This window comes from Homo sapiens, chromosome 20 (genome assembly GCF_000001405.40).
Source record: "Homo sapiens chromosome 20, GRCh38.p14 Primary Assembly".
In the NCBI taxonomy this organism is placed as follows: Eukaryota; Metazoa; Chordata; class Mammalia; order Primates; family Hominidae; genus Homo; species Homo sapiens.
In genome coordinates this window covers 39,824,529-39,836,701 of record NC_000020.11, presented here as the reverse complement: position 1 = coordinate 39,836,701, position 12,173 = coordinate 39,824,529, and the positions used below count along the sequence as shown (strand labels likewise).

General features: G+C 41.5%; 1 annotated feature.

The window, feature by feature from the left end:
* Window positions 10,549-10,678: an enhancer, noted in NCBI's record as "active region_17879". NCBI's record gives its function as "activates an Ori minimal core promoter by ATAC-STARR-seq in GM12878 lymphoblastoid cells {active_cell/tissue: GM12878}" and the evidence as "EXISTENCE:reporter gene assay evidence [ECO:0000049][PMID:35858748]".

The following is a 12,173-nucleotide window of genomic DNA, read 5'->3' as shown; positions in this document are numbered from 1 at the left end:
AATTTGGAGATTTCTCAGAGAACTTAAAACAGAACTACCATTCAACCCAGCAATCCTATGACTGGGTATACAACCAAAGGAAAATAAATAGTTCTACAAAAAAAAAAAAAAAAAAAACAAAACACAAATACACTCCCATGTTCATAGCAACACTATTCACAATAGCAAAGACATGGAATTAACCTACGTGCCCTACGTGCCCATCAAGGGTACCTTGATGGATAAAGAAAATGCCATATATATATATATATATATATATATATACCTATAATATATATATTATATATATTATAGGTATATATATATTATATATTATATATATTATAGGTATATATATTATATATATATTATATGTATATTATATATATATGCCATGGAATACTATGCAGCCATAAAAAAGAATAAAATCATGCCTTTTACAGCAGCACATGCAGCTGGAGACCAACATTCCAATCGAATTAACACAGGAAAAGAAAAACAAGCAGCGGACATTCTCACTTCTAAGTGGGAGCTAAGTATTGGGCACATATGGACATAAAAATAGAAACAATAGGCACTGGGGTCCACTAGAGAAGAAGAGAGGGAGGAGGACAAGGGCTAAAAACCTGCCTATTGCATACTGTGCTCACTATCTGGGTAATGGGATGATTCGTACCTCAAACCTCAGCATCACACAATATACCCACACAACAAACCTGCACATGTATCCCCTGAATCTAAAATAAAATTTGAAAATTATTTTACAAAAGAAAAAAGTCCTCTTGGAAAGGAACATAGTTTTAGTTAACGCTTCAGCCTTCCCAGTATTTGACAACTGTAGATAGGTTTGCCAGATATAGCAATAAAAAATACAGGGTGTCCAGTTGGATTTGAATTTCAGATAAACAACAAATACTTTTTCAGTACCAGCATATACATAGATATTGTTTATCTGAAATTCAAATTGATTCGGGTATTTTATATTTTCTCTGGCAACCCTAGCAGGCAGCTCAGGCCAGACTCTAGAGTTGCCTGGTTACTGTCGGGACCTCCGCCATCCAGAGTGCTGAGGAGGCAAGGATGGAGAACAAGGACAGGAAGTAGTCTCCAGGACACGATCGGTCAACAGTTCTGGGCACAGGCAGTCCCTCCCTTCTGCTTCAGAGGAGCACAATATTTGAGAATCAGATAGCCTGATTTCTGGTGTCACCTAAAACTCTTGTTCTGTTTTGTTTTCACTTATATCTGCATCCACTGATTTCTCTCATTGCTTCTGTTATGGCAACAATCAGAGTTGTCATAAAGCCTGCTTGACTCACAGAATGCAAGAGACGCTTTTAAAGAAGCAGATCCGAGGTCTTATCCAACAAACAGGTCTGGGATTGGACTTGGGGATCTGTTTTTTTACATCTCTTTGGGAGATTCTGATAATTTTCAAAAGTTCTCTTGGAAAGGAACATAGTCTTAGTTAATGTTTCAGCTCTCCCACTATTTGACAACTGTAGACAGTAGGGTTGCCAGATGTAGCAATCAAAAATACAGGGTGTCCAGTTGGATTTGAATTTCAGATGAACAACAAATACTTTTTCAGTACCAGTATATATATATATATATATTGTTTTCTGAAATTCAAATTCAATTGGGTATTTTATATTTTCTCTGGCAACACTAGCAGGGAGCTCAGGCCAGACTCAGCTCAGGCTAGGTTATTTGGGGAAACCCCCTATTTTAGGTGTGGGCCTGAGTTCCTCAGTTCCACCAGATGTTATACGTTGTTAGGAAATGTTGGCATGCAGTTTCATAAGTACTCTTATGAAAGTCAGGGATCCAGGCTGGAATGAAATGTGGACCACCCCAGGACTGGGAGAAATATTGGAAAATATGGCTCATGGTGCCATGGAAGGAAGCATAAACAGCCTAGTATGACAGGGATGACACAACAGCAGGCTATGTTTAGAGCAGGTACACAGTGGTGCTGGAGAAACAGGGACAATGGGATTGGGAGATCCAAGGTGAAATAAGATGGCTGCTACCATAGGAAATCTGGGCCACAATTCTAAATCCATAGAAAAAAAGCAGGTGGCATAAAGGAGGCAGTTCACTGAGCTACCTGGCAGCACAAAATCAGATGATCTAAACATTATTTCACCTCTTTAGGCTTGAGTGTGTTTATATGTAAAATGGGGATTCATTAATGTTTTCACTCATTTATTTAATATGATTACCCACAAGTCAGTCATCTATTGAGTGTTGCAAATACATCAATGAATAAAATATGTGAAATGCTTGACTTCATAGAGCTTACAGGCTATCAGGGAAGGCAGACAATAAACAGGTAAAAGGGCATAAACTGTTATTAATGTAAGTAGTTATAGATAGAAATTTCTAGTTAATACTATAAAGGGAACAAATAGTTATAGTACAGGATGCTTTCAATAAATTAAACACACACCCACATACACACAGAGCTATAGAAATATGATTATAGAAGACAAGGGATAGAGAAACTCACCAGTCAAGTGCAGCCAGGAAAGCAAAACACGTGCAAAGTACTTCAATAGAGAAAATTTAATGTAGGGAATTAGTTTTAAGGTATAAGAAGAACTAAAACAGTGAAGAGGAGATGAAGCAAGAAATTAGCAACTGTAGAAAGTGAGTGCCTTATCTAGGGCTGGAGGGACAAAAGAAGAAAGCAGTTTTGCAGGATCCCAAGAGCCCTGTGGAAACTGGGACTGTGGTAGGCCTGCTAGGCCATCAAGGCATACGCTGTCCAGTGAGAGTGGGAGCTGCAAGAGAAGCACAGTTGCTTCCAGAGATGCTGCCCCAGGTGGGAGAGGAAGAAAATTACCCTGGCCTTTTCCTGTCCTGTGTCTTGCCAAGTCCTTCAGTAGGCCATATCTAGCCAGAAACTAGTGGTCAAGGGAGCCTGTAAATGTAGTTTCCTATAATACAGAGAAGATGGAAAGAAGGGTAAGGAATATATCCGAGTGCAGACAAATGACCAGCACAAGCAGTAGGTAATAGGTTGGAGAAGTGGGATAAATGGTACCCATCTCGTTGGGTTTTTACCATGGTAGAAGAGGCTGTATGTGTGAACTTCTTAGCACTGTGCTAATATGAGTTGAGTGTGTAACTGGTGCATGGTCTCAATTTATGTTAGTTTAATGACCTAGCATTGGCTCCTAGATGTTTTGACAACTGAATTCGTGCGTGGGTCTGGGACAATAGACCAAGAAGAATGTCAGGCCAGAGAAAGGTGTCCATAAGAAGAATACAAAATGCAGAATTCAGAAATAGCTGTTGTGCCAGATGAACAAGATAGGGACTATAAGAGAGAGCCCTAGCAGCTGCCTGGTTTCATTACAAGTCCCACAGGACAGGCTGTGCCTAATATTAGAGCCAAATCCTGGTTCTCAAAGCAAAGCATGAGCCACTTTCAGCCAACCAGTCAAGGTGAGTTGATGGTGTGCTCACTGGGTGGATGAAGTTGCATGTGGGAGTTAAGAAAGCCCTATATTTGGAAAGCTAATTGTCTGTGTCCCCTTTTCCCACTGATCATTGATAACTGGACATTGATAATAGTATGGACGTGACAGGGTGAGCATAATAGAATATAACGTAGAAATGTGCTCCCCATATGAGCAATTAGGTTATTAGGTTTCCTAAAGACCAATGCAGTTGGATATATTACTCTGGATATATGCACTTGGTATATCATATAGGGTGCTTCTATCAAACAAGGCACACTCAAAACTGTTTAGCTGGAAAGAATTTAATAAAGGGACTGTTTACAGAGGTGTGGACTGAAAGTTGGTGGGGCACCCAGGAAGCAGCTATAGAGAAAGCCAAGGGGAGGGAACTGGGACTGGTCTAGTGAGAGCCATGGAACATGCCCACCTAAGAGGAGCCTTTTTAGCTAATGTCAGAACTGCAGTGAGGCAGGGAGAGAGTAGGGGTATATATACTCCCAATTCTCTCTCCTTCTTATTTCATGTATCTTGCCAGTGCCTCTTTTTTTTTTTTTTTTTTTTTCTGAGCTTAGCAAGAAGCAAAAGGTCAAAGGACCTTGAGCAGTGCACTCCTTAGGAGTCAGCCTCCAGAGACACAGGGTCACAAAAGGCCAATAATTCATTAGGGAGGAGGGTAGTGGCAAGCCTAATATCTCACACACAAAGTGTCTCAAACTTTGAGAGCATCAAAAGATGGTTCACTCTCCAGTTGTCCAGCCATAATCTTGAACCACTTTCCATTGGCCAATTTCACCTGGAGATCTCACTCATTTGAAGTTAGGACAAAGATCTGAATAGAATCTACAAACTAAAGGACTTACTCAAGAGAGAGTCTCTAAAATGGTGTAGCTGTAGCAGCCCATGTGAGCTGACGATTAAACTTACAGAAATTTTGTGTTCTAGTTGTTAGATGCAGCTGTTAATAAAAATTACATTAATAAACTTTAAGCTAATAAACTGCATTTTAAAAGGTAATAAGTAAATACTCAAAATTCACTATTTTCAATTATTGTACTGCAATCCATGCTTGTGAGGTTGTTTACATCTATTATATCCATGTGATGGAAATGCTATATAATGTTGTAGTACTGTGGGTCCATTCTCAACATTCACATTCAGTGATTCAACATTGATAGCTTAAAATTGGCCACAGTGGTCAATTTTAAGTTCACACCATGGAAAGTGGCATATGCTACAAATGAAAGTTTGTTCCAGGGGAGCTGGTTTTTGAACATTTACCAGCACAGCGCTCGACTCTCCCACCTCACTTCACCCCGCCCCCCATCAAACCTTGACCAGACTTTTGACAATGAAGAAGGGAAAAAAATGATGTCAGAAATCCTTAAGTGCCTTTCCTTTTTTTTCAGGAGCAGAATCATTCGTGGGAAAGGCAAGCACTAGCTTCTGAAACTTTGGCTTTTTCTCCCTTGCCTGAAGATTAAAACAAACAAAACATTATCCTTTTCCATGTTAAGTCTTTAAACAATTACAGCAGGCTTGAGTCTGACACCCTAAAATAGGAGGGTAAATTGGAGAAGGGCCAAGAGTATATGAAGTGGCAGACTAGGATTAGGCAGCATGTGTGGTTGTAGAACACAACATGCTGAGATGCAAAGAGGCCTGCAAGAATGGGAAGTTCTTGGCTGGGCGCAGTGGCTCATGCCTGTAATCCAAGTGCTTTGGGAGGCTGAGGTGGGAGGATTGCTTGAGGCCAGGAGTTCAAGGCCAGCCTGGGCAACATAGCAAGACCCTATCTCTACAAAAACATTTTTTAAATTAGCCAGGCACTGTGGCATGCTACACGTCCCAGCTGCTTGGGAGACCAAGGCAAGATGACTGCATGAGCCCAGGAGTTCAAGGCTTCAGTGAGCTATAATTGCTCCACTGCACTCTAGCCCAGGTGAGAGAGCAAGACCCTGTCTCAAAAAAAAAAAAAAAAAAGTGGGAACATCTTTATTTATCAATACTCCTCTTTACCAGAAGACTATACTGGAAGAGGGTGGAATTAGTAAGACAGACCTAGATTTGTATTTCCTAACAACATAATATTGAGAAGTCTTCTTGTTTTCTTGCCTACAAATTGGAGATTATAATCGTTACGTCATAGAATGGAAAACATTGAGTGATGGAGTATATGACACAACTGACACAATTTATTTATTTATTGATGCATTTGACAAATATTATCATACTATGTTCAAAGAACATATTGAAGAAAACCTATGCAGTCCTGCCCTCATGAAGATCATAGTTTGGCAGGTGAGACATACATTAAACAATTGCACTTAAAATAATTTCATTATGAAGATGACCCTGCTGAAGGAGCATATGTATCAATTAAGCTAAGCCTAGAAAGATTGGGAAACATTTGGATACTCGATAACACTTGTGTTTTCTTTCTCCATTTCATCCTTCTTTCCTATAGTTGTAGCTTTTCTCCAAAGCAGCTGAAGGCTGCTTTGCCCTCTAGCAGGCAGACAGGAAGTAATGGAAATAACACCCCTGGGATTATCTTCACCCACCATGAGAAATGATTCTATGGCATTCTTTGTCTGCCAGAGTGTCCTCAGCAGAATTAAGTTCCAGATGTCCAGGGCACCTATTTTAGTTGCTGTCCTTTTATTCTTATATCCCTGTTTGCCAACAGGTGTTTTCTGCACCTCCCAAATACGCTACTTGCACACAATTGACTCAGAGCTGATCTTATGGGAACCCAAACCAAGAGAACTCACCTCTCAAACTCATCTGTATCCCAAAGCACTTGTATCTCCCCAAATTGGGTGCAAATGTGGCCTAAAATGCAAGAAAAGACTTCCAGGAATAGATTTGTCATATAAGGTATGATCTGAAGCAGGACATTCTGAAGGGTGAAGGAAGCACCATTGAACATACACCAAGAACACAACAGGCATGAACTGGGATTGTATTGGGCAAACTAAGATGCATGGTCAGCCTGTTTGGAGAATGTTTAACTCTTCCAGAAAGACATAAAGGCCAGCATTCTGGTGGCTAACTGGAAGTCTGAGCACTCCTCAAGAGAAAGCAGCTTATTTGTCAAAAACTCAAGACTTATCTGTCATTCTCAGAGCCAACAGAGCAGCAGCCTCCCATGATGCACAGAGAAGCACATTTCTACCCAGATCCCTCATGCAAACTCACAGTTTTTAAGAGAAAAACAACAAAGATTTGTTAATGTCCTTCACCTCTTTGGGGCAGCTGCAGCTTTTTAAGAGCCAAGGGGTCCCCAGTGAATGCAAATCACACCAGCGCATGAGAAATGATTGACTCTGAGAGCTTTGCCGAAATGACTACTAATGTTGAAATCACACTCAGCTCAGTACATTTCCTGTGGGCTGGTGCTGCAGTGGGTGTACTGGGGGCAGGCAGGGGGGATTCCCAAAGAGGGAAGTTTCTATGCAAACCCCGCAGCCCAGATCAGGTTTCAGCCTCTCTTTGCTAATTCCCCTTGCATTTTTCTTTCCCCTAAAACATTTAAACTTAAATAGCTATATAAGTTCAAATGTTCTTTTATAGAGTGAAATAAACAGCTTTTATAGCCTGAAAACAGCAAGCTTAGAGATCAACTGTTCACCACTGAAGCAGGCATGTTTAAGCTAAAGAAATAGATGGCATTCTCTTCGTTATCGTTAGCTATATTTTTCCCCCAAACTAATAGGAGGTAGCATATAAATTAGCTGCCATATAAGTTGTCAGGGAAAGAAGTTAATGCAGCCTCCAGGCATTTTGCTGCAAGGCTGCCCCCCTCTGGCTCCCACCACGACCCACAACATGATTTGTGCAGAAAGCAAGATGTTTCAGAAAGAGCAGTTCAGAGGTGGGGCAAGTCCTCTGAAGGGGTCCAGGGGCTGGTCACTATCTCTCCACCTACTGGTTACTACTCCTGGCTTCTCAGTCCATCTTACACTTTCTGTCTCCAAACATATAATTCAGGTTAAAGAGAAATTTGGCAACCCATGGTTCCTAAACGACATTCGATGAGCGAGTTAGGTGGAAAGGCAGGGAAGCATGGGGAAGACAGAGGTACAAGGAACACTTCCTCCCCTTTGCTAGGGCTGACCTTTTCATTTCAGGGAAAATGAGTGTCTTGCCTTTGGGGCTCTTCTTTCACCAGGGGACTACGAAACACCTGGAACACTCATGCAATAGGCTATGTGGTAGAGCCTGATGCTGGATGTCCCATGGCTTGATTATTTGCACTGAAGTAGCCAATTCTTCTTGATTCATTCAACAAATAGCTTTTGGATATCTGTTATTACCAGGTATACTGTAGACTTATCACAGAGCAGCCCTCACGTGATTCCGATGCCTCAATACCTCTCTTTTCCCCAGCTTTCCTTTAAAAATGTTGCAACATCCCAACACGTGCCTTCGCAATTCATTCCCTTTCTCTTTCTCTACAGCCACACTTTGCATCCCTCTCTAACGTGCACTCCTACAACATGAGGCATTTTCTCATATTCCCAAAGTCTACCCTCCTCAAGTGACTGAAGCCCTATTCTGGCCCCCTCAGCCTGAAGGTTAATCTTTAGCAGGTTAGTCTTCTCTTAATCTTTAGAAACTATAAAATGTTTGTATTCTTTTGCTAGGGCTGCCATAGCTAAGTGTCACAAACTGGGTGGCTTACACAACAGAAATTTATCCTTTCATATTTCTAGAGGCTGGACATGCAAAATGAAGGTGTTAGTCAGCATGGTTGGTTCCTTCTGAAGGTTGAGGAAGAATCTCTTCGTGCCTCTCCCCTAGCTTCTGGTGGTTTGCTGATGATCTTTAGGGTTATTTGGCTTGTGGAAGCATCACCCTGATTCTGCCTTCATTTTCACATGCCATTCTCCCTGTGTGCATGTCTCTGTGTTCAAATTTCCCCCTTTGTATAAACATACCAGTCCTATTGAATTAGGGCCCTAATAACCTTATCCTAACCTAACTAATTACATCTGCAATGACCCTATTTCCAAGTAAGGTCACATTATGAGGTACTGAGGGTTAGTTAGGACTTTTGGGGGAGAGATACAATTCAACCCATAATACTGCCCTTTCCATGAACCCATTCAACAGAGTGAGGAGCTCAATCCCCCCACCTTCCTGGACACATAATTAATTTTGTACAATGCCCATGATATAGCAATGAACCTATTTTTCTTCAATTGTTTGTTCAACTGTCTCCTGTATTTTTTTTTAAGTTGCCTGAGATCATGACTCCATTTAGTCCCTCTGTTACAGGAAAGGGGTCCCGATCCAGACCCCAAGAAAGGGTTCTTGAATCTCACTCAAGAAAGAATTCAGGGCAAGTCCGCAGTGCAAAGAGAAAGCACATTTATTGAGAAAGTAAAGTGATGAAAGAACAGCTACTCCATAGACAGACTAGGACGTTCCTGAAAGTAAGAGGAGGAATATGTCCACCCTAGGTACAATGCTTGTTTATATACAGGATAAGAGAAGATCACTGGGAGACGTGCTCTGCTACAGGGTTTGTGACAAAGGATTGGTTTTCTTAATTACTATATTTTGCAAGAATCAATATTATTATTATTATTTTGAGATGGAGTTTTGTTGTGTTGCTCAGGCTGGAGTGCAATGGCATGATCTTAGCTCACTGCAACCTCTGCCTCCTGGGTTCAACTGATTCTCCTGCCTCATCCTCCCAGATAGCTGGGACTACAGGCATGTGCCACCATCACTGGCTAATTTTTTTTTTTTTTTTTTTTTTGTATTTTTAGTACAGATGGGGTTTCACCATGCTGGCCAGGCTGGTCTCGAACTCCCGACCTCAAGTGACCCACCCACCTCAGCCTCCCAAAGTGCTGGGATTACAGACATGAGCCACCACGTCTGGCCAATATTATTATCTTTAAAGCAAAATTAGGAATGCCTTTGTTCTCAAGATATCGGGATATTCGGAGAGTCCCAAGTCTGGATCTGTTTAGTAAACATTATCAATCTGTTCCCTTAAGTGTAAATATCTAGAGGCTAGGAATACCTTTCTGGAAATGCAACTCAGCAGGTCCCAGCCTCATTTTCCTAGCCCTCACTCAAGATGGAGTTGCTCTGGTTCGAACGCCTCTGACACCTTCAGATGTCCAGTAACTATTTCTTGAGTAAATAATAGCTCATTCTGAATTTCCCCCTCTTTGCTAAGGACCAGAGGGAAAGCATGAAAAGTAAATTCATAAAGACACTCCTAGCTACCTTCCTTTATCAGAAAGGAAAAAGGGTGTTTTCCAGGGCTATCAGATTCACTTCTTCTTGTGACCTTTTCCCCTTTAAAGTCATTAACCTTCTGCTCATTTCTCCTGCTCTTGCTGTTTTCCTTTTTATTTATTTCCAACTCTCCTTACTTCCAGCTGCATATGCCCCTGATATGTGTTGAATCTAAACAGTTATTGTCATGAGGTTGAGGGAAGTGTGGAAAAGTAAGAGTTTATCAAAGTTTTCCTAATACAATTTATAGGCTGTCAGCAGTTGTTTATGCCTTCATATTAATTCTGGGATGTATATTTATTTTATTCTGAGGATATAATATGATGCATAATTGATTTTGAGAGTTTGGAATTGCTTTTGTAAAAATGTGGGTCTTGAGTCATGAATCCTAATGCCTGGCTACCAACAGGATTTTGTTTCAAGTTTCTTCTTATTCGGGAGAGAAAGTTTCACACCCTAGTGTGTTCATAAAAATGGAGAGAGTGTTTGATCTTGATCTTGCAGCAGGTTTTCTGGGAAGTTCTTAGTTGGGGCTACATGTACTACACATGGCAATGTTTGAAGTGCTGGCCAGATCTATAACCCTTCATTTGGTCATGATTCTTCCAGTCCATTCCTAAAGAAGGAAGCTAAGGAGCCATGTGTATACTGGGTGACTGCTCCTTGGTCCTACCTGAAGAGTTCATGGGCAGGTACTTGACTCAAGAGGAGCCAATCATCCTCGTTCTTGAAAATATAAAGTAAGCTCACAAAACATGTGGTAAGATTGAGATTGACTCTGGATCAATAACGTCATGTAAGGTTAGAGCCAGGGTTGCCACCACAAACCATAGGCAAATGCAAGTTCTAGGTAAATGGAAACTTACAGCCGTACAAAGGAAGTGAGCTGCATAGAGGAGAATGCAGAATGTGTGCAGAGGAAAGCAACCACATGAAGCCACATTGACAAACATCTAGCTTCCAGGTTATCTAAGGACACATTTCCCTTTAATATGCCCCAGGAGATCTTCTGTTTATTGTGGCAAAACAGTCCATGATGAAGATCCCTTTGTGTGGAAGCTCCAAGAAAAAAAGGCACAACATAGTCTATTCTGATTTAGAGTTTAAAGTAAAGGTAATTTACTGGCATGTAGTTTCCAGGAGTCAGGAATCCAGGAGCAGCTTAGCTGGGTGGTTTTGGCTGTTGAAGCAACAAATGGGCTATTGGCCAGGTGTGCCTTCATATAAGACATGCCTGATCTGCAAAATCCACTCCCAAGGTGTCTCATGCCTGGCAAGTTGGTACTGGTTATTGGCAGGAGGCCTCAGTTCCTCACCACATAGTCTTCTCCGTAGGGTTGCTTGAGTGTCCTAATGATAGGGTAGCTGTCTTTACCCACAGCTAGGAGCCAAGAGAGAGCAAAGTGGAAACATATCGTATGATCTAGACTTGGAAGTCACACCTTAATTTTGACAACATCGTATTGGCTCATGGTCAGCCCTATTAAGTGGGAGTAAGGACCACACAAAGACAAGAAAACCAGGAGGAGGAGATCATTAGAGGTCATCTTGGACCCTGGATATCACAGTCTGTGACTAAGAAAGACACTAGACTAATTAATAAGAGAACAAATTGAGGCAGTGCTTTTTCCTAAGCCTGCTCCCAGGCATTACCCATGTATATATGATCTATCTGCCAACACCACCTTGTCTTCCTACCTGTGTGCATCGTGTTCCTGTGTTTTCAATGTCCTTCCTTTCCACTCTTACTTAAACTCTCTACTCATCCTCATCCTCCTAGGCCCTATTTGCATGTCATGCCTCTTCTACTTAGCTCTTCCTGATCTTCCAGCACCTGGCAATAATAGATTGTAGCCCTCTGTGTGTTTCACAGTGCTCCCTGTATAGATGTCTTTTTACATTGATTCTACTCTGTGGTTGCATCTTGAAACAGGAACCTTGCTAAGAATCGAAGATAGACAACAAGGCAGGGATTGGTTATACAGGTTTTGGAAAAGCTGAAAACCCAGCAAGCACAGTCTGGACCCTGGCTAAGGCCTGAACTGGGCTGTGACTCCCTGGAGTCCAGTCTCAGTCTCTGGGTTAATCTCAGGACCTCCCTAGAACTGCCAACTCCAACTCAGGATGGCATGATCTGCTGAAGGCTGAAATGAACAGTGCTCAGTAATTCCAAACCAGCACTGGGAACATCTCAGAATACATGTTATTTTCCCAGGTTTTCAAATTACTAAGTTGCTCTCATCTGTCACTTGGTGGTGAGTAAATCCAGAGTGATTCCCTGGAAAGACTGAATTGGAGCTTATGTGTGGATGGACCAATGACCTCAATTCTCTCCTTCTTTTTGCTTGTTCCTTCCAGCCTCCTGACAGGGAAAATGAATCAGGACATTTTCCTCTGGAAAGTAGGGAAAGACATGCCCTGGGCAGAAGAATGTGTGTGTGTTCCTTCTAAAGGAGACGCATACAC